Source organism: Homo sapiens, chromosome 17 (assembly GCF_000001405.40).
Source record: "Homo sapiens chromosome 17, GRCh38.p14 Primary Assembly".
Taxonomy (NCBI): domain Eukaryota; kingdom Metazoa; phylum Chordata; class Mammalia; order Primates; family Hominidae; genus Homo; species Homo sapiens.
The window spans coordinates 82,674,941-82,694,422 of record NC_000017.11 but is presented as its reverse complement, the minus strand read 5'-3'; the positions used below and the strand labels follow the sequence as shown (position 1 = coordinate 82,694,422).

Sequence of the window (19,482 nt, the reverse complement as noted above, 5' to 3'; positions counted from 1 at the left end):
GTAGCTGGGATTACAGGTGCCTGCCACCACACTGGGCCAATTTGTTTTTGTATTTTTAGTAGAGACGGGGTTTCCATGTTGGCCAGGGTGGTCTCGAACCCCTAACCTCAGGTGATCTGCTTAGCTCAGCCTCCCAAAGTGCTGGGATTACAGGTGTGAGCCACAGTGCGCGGCCTGAATTTTTCTGATTATCTTATGCCTTTCCTATTTGTTGGTAATTTTGATTTCAGTAAACTGTTCTAGCTGTTTCTAACTTATTGATTAGTTCAGTAAAGATGTTATTTTTGTCTCCTAATTTTCTCTTAGTTTTGGAGTTTTCCTTTTTTTTTTTTTTTTTTTTGAGATGGAGTCTCGCTCTGTTGCCCAGGCTGGAGTGCAGTGGCACGATCTCAGCTCACTGCAACCTCTGCCTCCCAGGTTCAAGCGATTTTCCTGTCTCAGCCTCCTGAGTAGCTGGGACTACAGGTGTGCGCCACCACGCCTGGCTAATTTTTGTATTTTTAGTAGAGACGGGGTTTCACTTTGTTAGCCAGGATGGTCTGGAACTCCGGGCCTAAGGTGATCTGCCCGCCTCGGCCTCCCAAAGTGCTGGAATTACAGGCGTGAGCCACTGCGCCTGGCCAATGTGCACTTCTGTGACTGTGTCTCTGGCCCCCGTTATGTGAAAGAGACTCTCCCATGTTGTGTGAGGCTGTGGGGTGTTAATTCTCATGGTGGTGACATCCCTTTTGTGACTCTACCGTGATTTATTCTCCATCCTGCGGGTGACGGGCATTTGGGTGGTTTCAGGTTTCTGACTATTATGGTTTGTTCTGCCATGAACATTCCTAGTACACATCCTTTGCATTTCTGTTGAAAGGTCCCTATGCGTGTGAATCGCTGGGTATCAGGCACGCAAATGTCTGCACAGGTTTCCCTGTAGTAGATTCTCGCAAAGCATTTTTCACTTGGTGCTCCCACCAGCAAAGCTGGAGGCCCCGGCTGCATCATCTTCCCTCTCAGCACGGGGCTGTCTCTGTCCTTCTGTGGTGTGTAGTTTGCCTTTGCATTTCTCTGATGACTGAGCACCTTTTCATACGTCTATGCGAAATTCCTCTTTGGAAAAATGCCCAAGTCGGCCGGGCCTGGTGGCTCACGTCTGCAATCCCAGCACTTTCAGAGGCCGAGGCGGATGGATCACCAGAGGTCAAGAGTTCGAGACCAGCCTGGCTAACTTGGTGAAACCCCATCTCTACTAAAAATACAAAAAAAAATTAGCCAGGTGTGGTGGCGGGCACCTGTATTCCCAGCTACTCGGGAGACTGAGGCAGGAGAAGCACTTGAACCCGGGAGGCGGAGGTTGCAGTGAGCTGAGATCGCACCACTGCACACCAGCCTGGGCAACAGAGTGGGACTCTGTCTCCAAAAAAAAAGAAAAAAAATAGAAACAGAAAGAAGAAAAATGCCCAAGTCTTATGTCTGTTTTTTCATTTAGGTTGAATTTCTTTCAATGCTTGCTAGGAGTGTTTAAAATATAGATTCTGGCTGTGAGTCCTTTGTCGGCTGTGTGATCCTGGATAGCCACTCTCATCTGCACGTCACCTTTCCACTCCTTCAGTGGTATTTTTGGATGAACAGAAGCTCTTAATTTTAACATAATCCAAATTATCAGTGTTTTGTGGTTAGGACTTTGGGTCCTGTTGAACAAACCTTTGCTGCTCCCAGATTTAAAAAAAAAATGTTCTCTACAAGCATCGTTTTACCTTTGACATGAATGGCTGCCTCCAGCTGGGGTGAGGCCTGAGGCAGGGATCGAGACACACTTTTTTCAGTCGGATGCCCCCCACCCCCACCCCGCATCGCACGGCCACCGTTGTCCCAGCTGAGAGCCCGCCTGTGGGTCTGGGTCTGCACCGTTGGCCCGCCTGTCTCTTGTGTGTGTGCCCCGGGTCAGACTCTGTCTTCTGTGGATGGGCATGCCCTGTGCTGGCCAGGGCAGTCAGATGCATCTTGTCCTTGCTCAGGCAGCTGTGCCCAGGTGTTCCCTTTGCTCCGATACGGTCAGCGAGGCCTGGATTCTCCCTCCTGGGCGTTTGTCTTCCTCTCGGTCTGTAGTTGCAGGGCAGAGTTCTTGGATCTTGGACCCTGTCGGCAACTTGACTCCACAGACTATGTGGACCCCACTGCTCTGCCTGTCACCTCAGCCCACGGACCGTGCGGGCCCCACTGCTCTGCCTGTCACCTCAGCCCACGGACCGTGCGGGCCCCACTGCTCTGCCTGTCACCTCAGCCCACGGACCGTGCGGGCCCCACTGCTCTGCCTGTCACCTCAGCCCACGGACCGTGCGGGCCCCACTGCTCTGCCTGTCACCTCAGCCCACGGACCGTGCGGGCCCCACTGCTCTGCCTGTCACCTCAGCCCACGGACCGTGCGGGCCCCACTGCTCTGCTGGTTACCCAGGGAAGTGTCTTCTGTTCTGCAACACACCTCACACACGCTGGTACCCCTGGTTCCTGGTGGCCTGGACCCCATTTCCGTCTGGCAGCTGGGTCCCCGGTTCACGCTCTTTCCCCTCGGAAGTTCCATTTCTCTCCAGGCAGGGGTAGAAGGAAGGCGTCACCAGGCTGGCCCAGGATATGGTCGGGGCACAGCAGGGCCCTGCCTTTCCGCCACCCCAGCTGGTGCTTCCAACACCAGATTGTGTCCCTTCTCTGAGTGCTGAGTTTTCTGCCTTTTGCCCATTTTTTTGTTGTTGTTTTTTGAGATGGAGTCTCGCTCTGTCGCCCAGGCTGGAGTGCAATGGTGCCACATCGGCTCACTGCAACCTCTGCCTCCTGGGTTCAAGTGATTCTCCTGCCTCAGCCCCCCGAGTAGCTGGGATTACAGGTGTACCATGCCCGGCTAATTTTTGTATTTTTAGTAGAGATGGGGGTTTCACCATGTTGGTCAGGCTGGTCTCGAACTCCTGACCTCAGGCAATCCGCCTGCCTGGGCCTCCCGAGTAGCTGGGATTACAGGCGTGAGCCACCGCGCCCGGCCTTTTGCACATGTTTATTGGTGACAGGGAGGGGGGTGGATTAACTACACCAGATGCCACCACCTCTTGCCTCCCACCCTTTTCCCCAGCATGAGGGCCTCATTGTCTTCTCCAATCCTTTCTCCTGGCTGTTTCTTCAGTGTCCTTTTCCCAGCATAAAAGTCCCATTGTTCTTTCTTTGTTTCATTTTTGCTAAGAGCTAATAATAATAACCCTCACTTACTGAGAGGGGGAATCATCTTGAGAGAGGTTATATTGTGAGGCCCAGAGAGGCTGAGCCACTCCCTCAAGACTACACGGTGCGTGGACACACCGGGGTGCAGGTGCAGGGCCTGGCCCTCCCCTCTGTTTCCAATGTTTAATGTTGGGAGAAGGCTCCACTGAGGGAGCTTTTCTTCCCGGAGACGAGCATCAGAGCCTCCGTTATGGAAAGTGACACAGTTGCTGGGGTTTGCTCCTTCCTCTTTGCCTTGGACAGATGTTCCCCTGGGACATGCGTGCCCACTCCATGCTCCCCCGGGGCAAACGTGCACACTCCGTCTCTCTCCAATTCTGCAGATCTTCCCCTGGACACACGTGCACACTCTCTGTTCCCCAGGAACACACATGCACACTTCATCTCCCTCCAATTCTGCAGATCTTCCCCTGGACACACGTGCACACTCTCTGTTCCCCAGGAACACACATGCACACTCCATCTCCCTCCAATTCTGCAGATCTTCCCCTGCACACACGTGCACACTCTCTGCTCCCCGGGAACACATGTGCACACTCCATGCTCCCTCCAATTCTGCAGATCTTCCCCTGGACACACGTGCACACTCTCTGCTCCCCGGCAACACACGTGCACACTCCATGCTCCCTCCAATTCTGCAGATCTTCTCCTGGACACACGTGCACACTCTCTGCTCCCCGGCAACACACGTGCACACTCCATGCTCCCTCCAATTCTGCAGATCTTCTCCTGGACACACGTGCACACTCTCTGCTCCCTGAGAACACATGTGCACACTCCATGCTCCTTCCAATTCTGCAGATCTCCCCCTGGACACACGTACACACTCTCTGCTCCCAGGAACACACATGCACACTCCGTCTCCCTCCAATTCTGCAGATCTTCCCCTGGACACACAAACACACTCTCTGCTCCCCGAGAACACGTGTGCACACTCCGTGCTCCCTCCAATTCTGCAGATCTTCCCCTGGACACACATGCACACTCCATGCTCCCTCTGATTCTTCAGACAGAGGTGGATTTGCTGATTAATACAGCTACTCTTCTGGTTTCCCTTGGCAACCACCTCGAGATATAAAACACGATTTATAAAGTCATCACTTTCAAGTTTGAACTGAAAGTCAAATCATATTTTATCCTGCTTCTTTATAGTGCAGTCCTTAAGGAGGAGATGATGGTTTTCTACTTCTTTTTTTTTTTTTTTGAGATGAAGTTTTGCTCTGTCACCCAGGCTGGAGTGCAGTGGCACGATCTCGGTTCACTGCAACCTCCGCCTCCTGGGTCCAAGCAATTCTCTGCCTCAGCCTCCTGAGTAGCTCGGATTACAGGTGCCCACCATCACGTCCAGCTAATTTTTTGTAGTTTTAGTGGAGACGGGGTTTCACCATCTTGGCCAGGCTGATCTTGAACTCCTGACCTCGTGATCCACCCGCCTTGGCCTCCGAAAGTGCTGGGATTACAGGTGTGAGCCACGTGCCCGGCCAGTTTTCTACTTCTTTACCTCCTGCGGTACCACTTGTGAGAAAATTAATTTTTAAAATACATTAAATGTCTCTATGCATTTGAAAATAACACCATTGCATTGTATCAAGTTTTGCCATTAGAAGCCCTCAATTCGGCCCCACCTCGCCTGTGTCCTGCAGGGTCCTCTCCCCGCCCTGATGACCATCCTTTAGCTTGACCTGTTACTTCTGTAACCCCAGCCCCAGGTGAACCTGATTTCCAGTGACAGGCTGGGAGAGGCTCAAAGCAAGCCAGCCAGGTTTCTCCAGGCAGAGAGAGGGTCAGCTCTGGGGGCTGGAGGCCCACCCATCGCCCCTGAGTCCCCTGTCACCAGCCTGTCCACCAGCCTGGCACCAGGCACCACCGTGGTGCAGAGTGGACGCAGCTGGAGCAGGCAGACCCGCAGTCCTGCCTCATCCTGCCAGCCGCACCTGCTCACTGCTCCTCCTGCCCCAGGAGTGCAGGCTGCTCCGCGCTGGGTGCATTTGGAGTGAAGACAGTGGCAAGGGGCGTCAGAGGCAACAGTGGAATCAGCTGGTATGTGCTGGCTGTGGGTACTGTTCACATTCAGAGATGTTTTTAACCTTTATTTTAAACTTTATTCCCAGGATTCTTCAGCTTAATTAGCTCTATATACACAAAACCTGAAAAGAACAACAGCATCCAAAGGGCTTGGGCATAAAAATATTAGAGATCTAGACTTTATCAAACAAAACAATTTTTAAATTTTTTTTGAGACAGAGTCTTACTCTGTTGCTCAGGCTGGAGTGCAGTGGTGCGATCTTGGCTCACTGCAACCTCTGCTTCCTGGGTTCAAGCAATTTTCCTGCCTCAGTGTCCTGAGTAGCTGGGATTACAGGCATGCACCACCATGCCCGGCTAATTTTTGTATTTTTAGTAAAGACGGGGTTTCACTATGTTGGCCAGGCTGGTCTCGAACTCCTGACCTCAGGTGATCCACCTGCCTCAGCCTCCCAAAGTGCTGGGATTACAGGCGTGAGCCACCACGCCCGGCCCAAACAAAACTATTTGTTTATTTATTTATGTATTTTTGAGACGGAGTCTCGCTTTGTCACCCAGCTGGAGTGCTGTGGCGTGTTCTTAGCTCACTGCACCCTCCGCCTCCCGGCTTCAAGCACTTCTCCTGCCTCAAGCCTCCTGAGTAGCTGGGATTACAGGCGCCTGCCTCCACGCCTGGCTAATTTTTTGGTATTTTTAATAGAGATGGGGTTTCACCATGTTGGTCAGGCTGGTCTCGAACTCCTGACCTCGTGATCTACCCGCCTCGGACTCCCAAAGTGCTGGGATTACAGGCGTGAGCTACCGTGCCCGGCCCAAAACAATTTTTAAAAGTGGTCATGAGGGCCAGGCATGGTGGCTCACACCTGTAATCCCAGCACTTTGGGATCGCTTGAGCTCAGGAGTTCAGACCAGCCTAGGAAATATAGGGAAACCTCGTCTCTACAGAAAGTTTAAAAATTAGCTGGGCGTGATGGTGACTTAGTGTGTTTTGGGCCCCGGCTGGCAGAGAGAAGGATGGACTGATGGACGCTCAGCACCATGAAATGAAAACTTTCAGGGATGTAAAGTCTTTTTTGAAACCGGGTCTGGCTTATTGCCCAGGCTGGAGTGCAGTGGTGCGATCACAGCTTAATGGAGCTTTGACCTCCTGGGCTCAAACAGTCCTCTCACCTCAGCCCCCCAGTTGGCTGGGACTATAGGTGCATGCCACCATGCCCGGCTAATTATTTTATTTTTAGTAGAGAGAGGGTCTTGCTATGCCGCCCAGGCTTGTCTTGAATTTCTGGGCTCAAGCGATCCTCCTGCCTCAGCTTCCCAAAGTGTTGAGATTGCAGACATGAGCCACCGCGCCTGGCTGGGGGCGTAAAGTCTTGAAGGCACCTGCCCTGCATGATCGGCAGCCAGTCAGGAGGGCTGGTTTTCCAGGAACCCTGTGCTTGACTTCTCAGTCTCTCCGAGGATGCCAGCACCTCTCACAGAAGCTGGCGGCCATGTCCTGGAGAGAGAGCCCCAGAAAGCTGTCAGTGGAGAACAACGAGGCCATTGTAACAGATCTTGGGGTTTTCTCAGCTAGGAATGAGCCTCAGGCTGTTTTTACTTTATGTGGGTTACGTATCTCAACTTCTTGCAGCTAATAATTAATTAATTACCCTCCCCCTAATGTGACTCAGCAAAGTTTGCTCCTGAATTTGAATCAACTGGTGTGTTATTTATATTTGTGACTCGTGATAGGACTGGCATTTTGTTTGACTAAAAATAAAAGCAAAAACAAGTTTACAGAGGCATAAATATACATATTAAACTTTAGTGACCCTAATACATAAGGCCAGAAGTTATTATCTTAATAGGAAAGAGTAAATAGATAAGTATGAAGAGTATGAAATTTTCTCTTAGATTAATAAAATTCATCTGGAAATAAAGTCTGTTTCTTCCAGCTCAGGAGGCCACGTATGTTTGAGGAGAGAACACTGTGGTACACTCACGGGTTCAAATTGCGTCGTGTTGGTTTGACTTTGGAGAGACATAGAGGCCAGCGTCATCAGATCTGGGCATCATCGGGGGTGTGGGGGGGCCCACAGACAAGAGTCTTCCATGCCCTTGACCTCTGAGCACCCTTCCCCCCAGCACTGGACAGGAGGGTCTTTGATACCCCTGAGCTCTGAGCCTCCTTCCCCCCAGCACTGGACGGGAGGGTCTTCCATGCCCTTGACCTCTGAGCACCCTTCGCCCCAGCACTGGATGGGAGGGTCTTCCATGCCCCTGAGCTCTGAGCATCCTTCCCCCCAGCACTGGACGGGAGGAACGTGGAGGAAGGTGGGGGGCTCCAGAGCTGCTGAGTGAAGTGGCTTTTGGATGGGCTGCTGTGACTAATGGAAAAGAGCTGCTGAGTGAAGGGGCTTTTGGACAAATTGAAACAGAGATTTATTCTCTCACAGTTCTAGAGACCAGAAGCCCAGAATGAAGGTGTTGCCTGGGCCACGCTCCCTTGGCAGGCTCTAAGCGGGGACCCTTCCTGACTCCCCTGACTTCTGGGGTGCTGCTGGCAGCCCTCGGCGTTCTGTGGCCTGTGGCAGCACCGTTCCAGTCCCTGCTGTCTGTCGTCACACAGCCTTCTCTCCTGGGTGTCTGTGTCCCCAAATCTCTCTGTGCTTATAAGAACACTAGCCATTGGATTTAGGGCCCACCTAACTCAGTATGACCTCATCTTAACTTGATTACATCTGAAAAGACCCTTGGCCGGGCGCGGTGGCTCATGCCTATAATCCCATCACTTTGGGAGGCCGAGGCAGGTGGATCACTTGAGGTCAGGAGTTCGAGACCAGCCTGGCCAACATGGGGAAATCCCATCTCTACTAAAAATACAAAAATTAGCTGGGCGTGGTGGCAGGTGCCTGTTATCTCAGCTGCTTAGGAGGCTGAGGCAGGAGAATCACTTGAACCCCGGAAGCGGAGGTTTCAGTGAGCTGAGATCGTGCCACTGCACTCCAGCCTCCAGCCTGGATGACAGAGTGAGACTTTGTCTCAAAAAAAAAAAAAAAAAAGAAGGCTGGGTGCGGTGGCTCACGCCTGTAATCCCAGCACTTTGGGAGGCCAAGGCGGGCAGATCACGAGTTCAGCAGTTTGAGACCAGCCTGGCCAACATGGTGAAACCCCGTCTCTACTAAAAATACAAAAATTAGCTGGGTGTGGTGGCGGGCACCTGTAATCCCAGCTACTTGGGAGGCTGAGGTAGGAGAATCGTTTGAATCCAGGAGGTGGAGGTTGCAGTGAGCTGAGATCGCACCATCGCACTCCAGCCTGGGTGACAGGGCGAGACTCCGTCTCAAAAAAAAAAAAAAAGAAGAAGAAGAAGAGATCCTGTTTCCGAATCAGGTCACATTCTGAAGTTCTGGGTGAATGTGAGCCTTTGGGGGACACTTCAACCCAGTATAGATAGATGGTGAAACCCGAAAGGACAGTTTCGTTCTCATGAAGGAAGAGCTGGGCACCCAGGGACCCTGTGGGTCCCCTCTTCTTGGAGCTTCAGCACTGGAGCCCCTGGCCCTGTTGGTTCCTGTTGGCTAGGGCCCTGGAGGGGCCCCTAGGACCTGCCCTGGAGGCAGGCCGGGTGCCTGGGGCCCGCCCCATCTGAGCGTTTCACTGCTGGGCTGTCTCCTTGGGACCCTACGGGCTACACAGCTCATTCTGCCGGTCGTCCATGCTTGGGGTTGGAGCACTGAAGCTTCGTCCCTGTGTGCGGTGAAGGACTTGGTGACTCCAAGGAGGCCCCAGGAATCTGCGTTCAGTTGAGTGCACGGCCACAGTTGAGGACCACTGCGTGTGCTGTCTCTTTCTGTGGTGTTTCTCCTCCTCCTCCCTCCCCACCCTCCTTTTCCCTTCTGGCCCACTTCCCCCTCCCCCTCCCTCCTCCGTCCTCCCTCCCCCTCCCCATTCCTTTCCTCTCCCGCTTCCTCTCTGCTTTTATTGAGATATGGTTTACTTACAGTAAAATGTCTCCCTTCTTGAGTTTTTTTGTTTTTTTTTTCCTTTTTTGAGACAGAGTTTCACTCTTGTCACCCAGGCTGGAGTGCAATGGTATGATCTCGGCTCACTGCAACCCCTGCCTTTGGATTCAAGCGATTCTCCTGCCTCAGCCTCCTGAGTAGCTGGGATTATAGGCGCCTGCCACCACGCCCGGGTAATTTTTCTATTTTTAGTAGAGATGGGGTTTTGCCATATTGGCCAGGCTGGTCTCGAACTCCTGACCTCAGGTGATCCACCCGCCTCGACCTCCCAGAGTTCTAGGATTACAGGCGTGGGCCACCGTGCCTGGCCCCGTCTTGAGTTTTGACAAAGACAGTGGTGTGACCGCCATCACGGTCAAGGTGGAGAACACCTCCACCACGCAGAAGTTTCCGCAGCCTCTTTGTAGGCAGCCCCTCCCCAACCCCACCTCCTCAGCCTCCAACGTGCCTGCATCCCGGAGGCCTTTGAACCTGGCTCCGGTCACTCAGCAGCCCTGAGCCTCTGAAGCCATCTGACTTGTCAGGTGCACCAAGAGCTCATTGCTTTTGATTGTGGGACAGTAGAGATGAACCACAGTCCATCACCCACCCACCCTCTGAGGAGGGTCTGGGTGATTTCCAGCTTTTGGCGATCTATGAAAAAAGCCACTGTGCATGTTTATGACTCGTTTTTGTGCGAACTTGTTTTTATTTCACTTGGGTAAATATCCAGGGGTGGAGTTGCTAGGTCATATGATAAATGAATGATTAACTTTATAAGAAACTGCCAAACCCTTTTCCACACTGACCACACCGTTTGCATCCCCGTCAGCAGTGTGTGAGTGTTTCAGTTGTCAACATTCTTTGGTTTTGTTTTTTTTAAATGTTAGCCACTCATGGGTGTGCAGTGGTATCTCATTGTAATTTTTTTTTTTTTTTTTTGAGACAGAGTCTCACTCTCTCACCCAGGCTAGAGTGCAAAAGCGCAATCTTGGCTCACTGCAACCCCTGCCTCCCGGGTTCAAGCGATTCTCCTGCCTCAGCCTCCCGAGTAGCTGGGATTACAGGTGCCTGCCACCACACCCAGCTAATTTTTGTATTTTTAGTAGAGACAGGGTTTCACCATGTTGGCCAGGCTGGTCTCGAACTCCTGACTTCAGGTGATCCACCCGCCTCGGCCTCCCAAAGTGCTGGGATTACAGGCGTTAGCCGCTGCGCCCGGCCAGTATCTTATTGTAATTTTAATTTGCATTTCCTGTGCTCATCTACCATCCTCATATTCTCTTTGGTGAAGTGTCTTTTCAGATCTTTTGCCCACTTTTTCTTTTCTTTTCTTTTCTTTTTTTTTTTTTTTTTTGGAAACAGGGTCTTGCTCTGTTGCCCAGGCTGGAGTGCAGTGGTGCAAGTCATAGCTCACTGCAGTCTCCACCTACTGGGCTCAAGTGATCCTCCCACCTGTTTCCCCAGTAGCTGGACTCCAAGTGCACACCACCAGGCCTGGCTAATTAAAAAAAGAAAAGTTTTGTAGAGATGAGGGTCTCACTATATTGTCCAGACTGCCCTTGAGAGATCCTCAAGAGATCCTGGGCTCAAGAGATCATCCTACCTCGGCCTCCCAAAGTGGTGGGATTACAGTTGTGAGCCACTATGTCTGGCCTCTTTTGCTTATTTTGAAAAACCTGAATTGTTTATTTTCTTTTTATTGAATTTTGAGAATGTTTAAATACGTTTTGGATGTAAGTCTTTACCCAGAAATGTGTTTTCAAGTATTTTCACCCCATCTGTGCCTTTTCTTTCCATTTAGTATCTTTTAAAGAATAAGAGTTTTTACTTTTGAAGAAATCCAGTTGATCAGTTTTTTTCTTTTATAGACCATCCTTTTAATGTCATATCTAAGAAATCTTTGCCTAACCCAAAGTCACAAAGATTTTCTTCTAGAAATTTTATAATTTTAGATTTTACATTTATGACTATGGTCCATTTTGGGTTTTTTTGTTTGTTTGTTTCTTTGTTTGTTTTTGAGATGGAGTCTCACTCTGTAGCCCAGGCTGGAATGCAGTGGCATGATCTCGGCTCACTGCAAGCTCCATCTCCCGGATTCAAGCAATTCTCCTGCCTCAGCCTCCCGAGTACCTGGGATTACAGGCGTGTGCCACCATGCCCGGCTAATTTTTGTATTTTTAATAGAGACAGGGTTTTACCTTGTTAGCCAGGATGGTCTCGATCTCCTGACCTCATGATCTGCCTGCCTCGGTCTCCCAAAGTGCTGGGATTGCAGGCATGAGTCACCGTGCCCGGCCGGGTTCGTTTTTTAATATAGTGTGAGGTATAGATTGAGATTCGTTACTTTTGCACAGGGATGTCTAATTGTTCCAGCAGCATTTGTTGAAAAGACTATTCTTTATTGTATGGCCTTTGCACTTTGGTCAAACATCAATTGGCCATTTTTGTGTGGGCCTATTTCTAGACTCAATTCTGTTCCATTTTTCTATTCAGTATTTTTTATACCAGTACCATACTGTGTTGATTAAATATATAGTAAGTCTTGAGTTTGAGGAGTCTGAGTCTTCCAACTTTGCTCTTTTGACTTTCCTTTTAAATGTTGGCTTTGTTGATTTCTACCAAGAAAAGTCCTGCTAGGATTTTTGATTGGGACTAAAACTATAGATCAATTGGGGAGACTTGTCATCTTAACAATACTGATTCTGTCAATCATGAACATGGTATGTCTCTCCATTTATTTAGGTCTTCTTTGATTCCTTTTATTAGTGGTTTGTAGCTTTTAATATATAAGTCTTGCACTTTTTTTTAGATTTATACTCAAGTATTTCATGGTTTGGGGGCTACTGTACCTAGTGCTATTTAATTTCAATTTCTGATTGTTTACTGCTAGTATTTAAAAATACAACTGTTTTTTTCCATGTTGGCCTTGTATATTTTGATCTTACTAAATTCACTTATGAGTTCTAATAGCTTTCTTATTGGTTTTTGGAGAGGTGTATGTGTGTGTGTGCATGCGTGCCTGTGTGTGTGTGTGTGTGCATGCGTGTGTGTGTGTATAGTAATGTCATCTGGTAATCGAGATGGTTTTAATCTGCATGCCTTTTCTTTCTTTTTGTTGCCTTATTGCCCTGGTTATAACTTCCAAAATGATATTGAATTGGAGTGGTAAGAGTGGATATTTTCATGGGGAAAATATTTTCTCATTTTCATGGGGAAAGCGTTCTGTTTTTTACCATTAAGTAAAATGTTAGCTTTGAGGTTCTTTTTTTTAAGATGCACTTTATCAGGTTAAGGGAATTGTATTCCTAGTTTGCTGAGAGCTTTTGTTGTGAAAAGGTATTGGATTTTGTCAAATGCTGCCTCACTGAGATCATGTGGGTTTTTCTTTTTTGATTTATTGATGTGATAAATTGCATTGATAGATTTTCAAAGGTCGAACCAACCTTGCATTCCTACAATAATAGATTGCCGAATTTGGTATATTTTTTATTGATGGAGTTATCTCTTTTACTTTATATTTTTACTTTTAATTTATTGTATAGTAAGTTATTTTAATGATTGGAATCACAGTGCTAGAGAAATCCCCCATCTGAGCCCAGTTCTGGTGGCTCCAAAGCCTCCACACAGAGCCTTGAGATGCTTTGCTGCAGGGTTGCTTGTTTCGCACTCAGAGCCTGGGTTGCTGAGTGAGGCTGTGCTCATCCAAGCAGAGGGGCTTTTTTCCCTACCCAGTGTCTGACTGCACTGGTTAACTACTGCTTCCTGTATTAGGAGACTTCTCCCAGACGGCTGCTTCTAACTGTTCAGAGGTATTACTCTCGTTTGCCTTTTTGTCTAGAAATGTAATATTTCCTACCATAGGTAAGTTATGTTCCCTAGGAGAGCCAGCAATCTTTGAGTTATATAAATTGATTTTTAGCCAAATCTTCACTAAGGAGTTGGGGGTGGGGGAGCTCATTTACCACTTACCTACCAAAAACTCATGTTTTTTGAGTTAATATATTACCACATGTAGTGTTTTGGCAACTGTGTTCAATGTATATGAAGCAGATATATTTGCCTTCATTTTTAGCTAATTTTCTCTCAAACATCATTTTCTTTTCTCTTTCTTTTTTTTTTTTTTTTTTTTTTTTTTTTTTGAGATGGAGTCTTGCTCTGTTGCCCAGGCTGGAGTGCAATGGCGCAATCTCAGCTCACTGCCTCCCGGGTTCAAATGATTCTCCTGCCTCAGCCTCCTGAGTAGCTGGGACTACAGGTGCACGCCACCAAGCCCAGCTAATTTTTGTATTTTTAGTAGAGACGGGGTTTCACCATGTTATCCAGGCTGGTCTCAAACCCCTGACCTTGTGATGCAACTGCCTCAGCCTTCCAAAGTGCTGGGATTAAAGGCGTGAGCCACCGTGCCTGGCCCAGAAATTATATTTTAGAATTAAAACATTTGTATCAATACTTCATATGAAAAATGTTAAAATTACATATATCATTATAGGTATTACTACTAGGTAGAAAGAAAATCATATATATACATAAACAGTGAAATGAACTACACTGAAATATTAATCGTAGTTGTCCATGGGTGATAAGATTGTAGTGGTAAATATTTAGTACCAAGCATGAATGACTTGATTTTAAATAAGCTTTTTCATATGCGATATTTTTTTTAACTTCAGAAGCAAAGAGTGTCAGGCAGCCTTGGTGGGGTGGCCTCCTGGAACCCTCCAGCCTCCAGCCAGGACTTTGAGTTGAGAAGCTCACACACGTGGGGGAACTGCCGTCCCGTCCCCCGAGCGGCCCCGCCCAGAGCCCACACCCCTCTTTGGCAGGTCGTGGCCAAGGTGGGTGGGGCTCCTGCCTGCGACCCAGGGCCAGGGCAGGACTGGATCCTATGGCCACTCCCCTGGGTGTATGGGAACCTAGGAGAGACCCAGGCCCCAGTGTGGGGTCCAAGGCTGCATGAGACCTCCGTGACAGAGGTCACCCCACCCTGAGAGCCCGGGCCCGCCTGAGTTGAGCCCTCGAACCCTGCCAGGCCTCCGGTCTGAGCAGGACGGGCCAGCCCGAGGACAGCTGCCCCCTTCTCAGGCCCTGGGAGTTGTGGTCACAAGATGTCCAGCCCCACAACCAGCCTCAGGGAATCCACCACTCTGATGGGTTGTGAGGGGAGCTCTGGGATCTGGCCCCTCTGTCCCTCCCACAGCCACTGTGGCTGCCTTGATCCCCCTTCCCCAAGACGATGTCTCTTCGTGAGCCTCCCACGACTGCGTTCACCCCGCAGCCTGCTCGGGCAGCAGCTGCCACGCTCCAGGACACTGCTTCTGGGCCGTGTTCCTTCGTGTTTCCAGGTGTCCTGTGGTGGTGACAGCTCAGTGGAAGCTGGCCCCTGCCCTGTGCTTGGTGGAGGCTGCCCCCTGCCCTGTGCTCGGTGACCTGCAGGTGCTTAGTGACTGGGCGGGGCAGCAGTGGCCGCACAGGGTTGGCGTGGCCTCTGCAGCACTTGTCCAGCCTGATGCTGGTCCCAGGCCTCACCTTTTGGGAGTTTAGTGTCCTAAGACAAAGGTGATTTAAATAAATAAGGCTTGTGGCGGCCGGGCGCAGTGGCTCCCACCTGTGATCCCAGCACTTTGGGAGGCCAAGGCGGATCACAAGATCAGGAGATCGAGACCATCCTGGCTAACACAGTGAAACCCTGTCTCTACTAAAAATACAAAAAATTAGCTGGGCGTGGTGGCAGGCACCTGTAGTCCCAGCTACTCGGGAGGCTGAGGCAGGAGAATGGCGTGAACCCAGGAGGCGGAGCTTGCAGTGAGCCGAGATTGCGCCACTGCACTCCAGCCTGGGCGACAGAGCAAGACTCCATCTCAAAAAATAAAATAAAATAAAATAATAATAATAATAATAATAAGGCTTGTGGTGTCCTTCAGGCTACCGGAGAAGGTGGTTGCTGGTGGGCGCGAGCTGCTCCTGACTGTTCAGAAAGGGAGCTGCTCAGTGGTTCACGCCTGTCATCCCAGCACTTTGGGAGGCCGAGGCAGGTGGATCACGAGGTCAGGAGATCGAGACTATCCTGGCTAACACGGTGAAACCCCGTCTCTACTAAAAATACAAAAAAATTAGCCAGGCGTGGTGGCAGGTGCCTGTAGTCCCAGCTACCTGGGAGGCTGAGGCAGGAGAATGGTGTGAACCTGGGAGGCGGAGCTTGCAGTGAGCCGAGATGGCGCCACTGCACTCCAGCCTGGGCGACAGAGCGAGACTCCGTCTCAAAAAAAAAAAAAAAAAAAAACGCAGAAAGGGAGCTGCTTTCACAAAAACCACACACTTAAAGTCAGATGTGAGCATTTTACGGTGCAGGTGTAAAGCGGCGTTGAATCACCACCACACTGCAGCGTCAGCACCGGCCACTTCCAGGAGCCCTGTGCTGTCCAGTGGCCATTCGCCCTGCCCCTCCCCTCTGCCCCGGGGACCGCCAGTCTGCTTTTTGGCTTTCCGGTGTTTTAACTCAACATAAGACAGATTTCTCAAAAGCTGGGCTGAGAGATGAATACGTCTGTACATTGTATTGAATCAATATTTGCACCATCAACAGATCCTCGCTTGTGAAGGCGGTTATGCCACTTACTAAAATAGAATTAAGCAGGTGGTAGATGACTTAAAACAGATTCCTAAAATATTTACTCATTATGCAGCTCCAAGTGTAGAGAATGGTGTGGCATTTGACTTCTCCCTTTTTTGTTCTTGTTTTTTAGAAGGTTAAAATTATCTTTTTGTCCCTGTTTTCTGACTCACTCAGTGAACATTCTGACGGGCTTTGTTCTAGAAGCTTTGTATATCTTTATTATATTTTGATGGACAGAGTACATGGTAAGTTAATCAGCTAAGTGCAGTGAGCTTGAATTGTATTATCCTAACGCTAACACTGCTGATGTCAAAAATGTTTCTTAGTTTCTCGTGGACCAAAACGTAAGGTAACACAGAGAAGGAGAAACGGTAAATAACGAAAGAGCAAACACACAGATGGGAGATAAGGTAAAAAACAAAAACAAAAACAAAAAAAACTGCAAAGACTGAAACAAAATGGCTCCATCAATGGGCTTATGAAAAGAAGAGTCTTCTCACAAATTGAATTTGAACATAGCTATGAAAGGATATGGTTTGAGGATTTCTCTAGGCAGACATGGCTGCGTTAGAGGGTTTATCTTTGGAACAGCATTGATTTTAGAGAAAAAAAGAGAGACTTGAAATGAGTTTGGTCGCTGCTCGCTGGGCCCAGTGTCCAGACGTTCTGGGCTGTGGCTGAGGGATGGAGAAGAGGCCCCGGGTCAGGTGCAGGGGTCGGGCAGGTGCAGCACCGCAGCATCACTGACGCCCTCATCTGGGGTCAGAGGGCCCCACATCCGGGGGTTCCAGCAGACTTCAAGTGTCCTGCGCAAAGAGGATGCGGGCTCTGTGTAGGGCCAGGCCACCTGTGCCTGGAAACCCCAAACGCTTGGGTGCTGGCCCTGGAGACGGGTGGTGGACGAGGATTGGAAGGTGGACACGGGAAGGCAGGGTTCCCACTGGGAAAGGCCGAGTCCACAGGGACAGAGACGCGGCGTCAGGGCTGATGGAGAGCCACAACACAGGCCGCCTCTGGGCCTCGGACCTGTGGCAAGGGGGACACATCAGGGAAGGGCCAGAGTGTGTTGAGCTGGCCGCTGCAGGATGGGCCACCTCCTGGAAGCAGCCCGGCTTGTAATGCTTTCTGCCCTGTTGGGACGGGAGAAACCAGTGATTGGTTTTAGCTCTTTCTGAGGGGAATCTCATTGTAATGAGCTTTTACGATGGGCTGAGAACCTGGGACTTGGAAGAAATTCAGCTTTTAGTTCAGGTATTAATTCAGAGATAGCTTGAACATTAATTGTTTAAATTAGTAGGCTGGCCGGGAGCGGTGGCTCACGCCTGTAATCCTAGCACTTTGGGAGGCCGAGGCAGGTGGATCACGAGGTCAGGGGTTCGAGACCAGCCTGACCAACATGGTGAAACCCCGTCTCTACTAAAAATACAAAAATTAGCTGGGCGTGGTGGCGGGCGCCTGTAATCCCAGCTACTCGGGAGGCTGAGGCAGGAGAATTGCTTGAACCCGGGAGGTGGAGCTTGCGGTGAGCCGAGATCGTGCCACTGCACTCCAGCCTGGACGACAGAGTGAGACTCCGTCTCAGAAAAAATAAATAAATAAATAAATAAATTAGTAGGCTACCGGCCGGGCGCGGTAGCTCACGCCTATAATCCCAGCACTTTGGGAGGCTGAGACAGGTGGATCACCTGAGGTCAGGAGTTCGAGACCAGCCTGACCAATATGGTGAACTCTCATCTGTACTAAAATAAAAAATTATCCAGGTGTGATGGCGGGCATCTGTAATCCCAACTGCTGGAGAGGCTGAGGCAGGAGAATCGCTTGAATCCAGGAGGCGGAGGTTGCAGTGAGTTGAGATCACGCCATTGCATTCCAGCCTGGGCGACACAGCGAGACTCCATCTCAAAAAAGAAAAAGAAAAAGAAAAATTAGTAGGCCACTGAAGCAGAGATGTCAAACTGGCGGGGGTAAGCCTCAAAACAGGACCCATCCGAATGCAAAGGGAATGGTGCTTTGTAGGGGTGGCTGGGAAGAGCCGAGAGACTCGCCACGGAATTGGTGTGTGGGTGAGGAGAGGCTGTTGAAGGTCGGGGGTGCCCTGTGTGGGGGGGGAGAGGCTGTTGAAGGTGAGGGGTGCCCTCACTCTGTGGGTGAGGAGATGCTGTTGAAGGTGAGGGGTGCCCTCACTGTGTGGGGTGAGGGGAGGCTGTTGAAGGTGAGGGGTGCCCTCACTGTGTGGAGGGAGAGGCTGTTGAAGGTGAGGGGTGCCCTCACTGTGTGTGGGGGAGATGCTGTTGAAGGTGAGGGGTGCCCTCACTGTGTGTGACCACAGAGGTTTGGGGAGGAGTTGGAGCCTTTGCTGAGCTGACGTGGACTGCTGGCAGCAGGTGCACACATTTTGAGGAGCTGTGGTGAGTGCGTCCCACGAGGCGGTCGGTTCCCCATTCATAGCCAGGGAAACGGAGACCCGGGGGAGATGGACGAAGACATTGGTGTTGGGACTGGATTTGATCCCAGGCCCCAGGCTGCAGCGTCTGTGCTTTACCAGCCCTGTGGGGTCCTCACCGTCCCGTACCAGGAGACTCAGAGTACCAGGGGCTTCAGGTCGTCACTGTTGCCACCTCTCCCCCCTGGTGAGAAGGACCCACGTAGCAGATGGAGGGCACTGTTTTTTAAGGTTTTATCTCCCCACCCGCCTGCAAGAGAGTGAATGTTTGTGACCCCCCCAAATTCGGGTGCTGAAACCTAACCCCAAGGTGATGGTGTTAGAAGATGGGGCTATTGGAAGATGATTAGGTCACGTGGGGCTTTGTGGATGGGATGAGTGAAGCATCCAAGAGCTCCCTCGCCCCTCCAGCTAGGGGAGGACATGGGGAGAAGACACCTCCATGAACCAGGATGCAGCCCTCGTCAGACACTGGCTCTGCCTGGACCTTGATCTAGAACTTCCAGCCTCCAGAACTGTGATGACAAGTTTCTGTTGTTTAGGAGCTGCCTAGCTTATGGTATTTTCATTATAGCAACCCCACTGGCTAAGGTACTACCCTACCCTGCCCCACCCCCAGTTCTGAAGTATGGGGTAAAGGGAGTGCCATCCACGGGAGCAGAATAGATTCGGGAGAAGGGCCAAGTGCTGCTGTGAAGGAAGCCAGCGCTTGGTGGAGACCACGTCAGACAGGCGGCTGTCATTGTCCTTTCAAAGCTGGTCATTTGCCAGGGCAGGTTGTGGGTGTGGGTTATGCATCCGGGCTGTGCTAATGGGAACTGCCAGCTGAAGAAGACACTGAGTCCAGTTTTGGTCATGATGGTGAATAATGAAATCATTATCACTGAGTTCGATTTTATTTCCAGTTCTTGTTTATTGTTAGTGAAATTCCGGGATGTGGAGGTCATTGTACTTTGCTTGGGGAAGATGTGAAAATGCATCCTTTGTAGCTTTTCCCAGTTTAGGGGGTGTCAGATGTTTTCTCTCTCTCTCTCCAGTCATTGTGCTTTGTGGGTTTTCTACCAGACATTTTGGTGCAAACAAGAAAATTAACTCAAAATAGCTTCAGCACAGAGGAATGTGGTGCCCCACACAGCCGGCAGGTTGAGGGGCTGGTGTAGTTT

General features: G+C 50.1%; 1 protein-coding gene across 3 annotated transcripts in view, besides 2 other annotated features; it reads left to right on the top strand.

Annotated features, from left to right (window-relative positions):
* RAB40B (RAB40B, member RAS oncogene family) overlaps nt 1-19,482 on the top strand; it is a 43,726-nt gene that overhangs the window by 4,276 nt on the left and 19,968 nt on the right. The window lies entirely within an intron of this gene.
* Nucleotides 13,663-14,187: an enhancer, noted in NCBI's record as "H3K4me1 hESC enhancer chr17:80638112-80638636 (GRCh37/hg19 assembly coordinates)". NCBI's record gives its function as "activates a minimal SCP1, AML or CMV promoter by ChIP-STARR-seq in primed H9 embryonic stem cells {active_cell/tissue: H9 hESC(primed)}" and the evidence as "EXISTENCE:reporter gene assay evidence [ECO:0000049][PMID:30033119]".
* Nucleotides 14,188-14,713: an enhancer, noted in NCBI's record as "H3K4me1 hESC enhancer chr17:80637586-80638111 (GRCh37/hg19 assembly coordinates)". NCBI's record gives its function as "activates a minimal SCP1, AML or CMV promoter by ChIP-STARR-seq in primed H9 embryonic stem cells {active_cell/tissue: H9 hESC(primed)}" and the evidence as "EXISTENCE:reporter gene assay evidence [ECO:0000049][PMID:30033119]".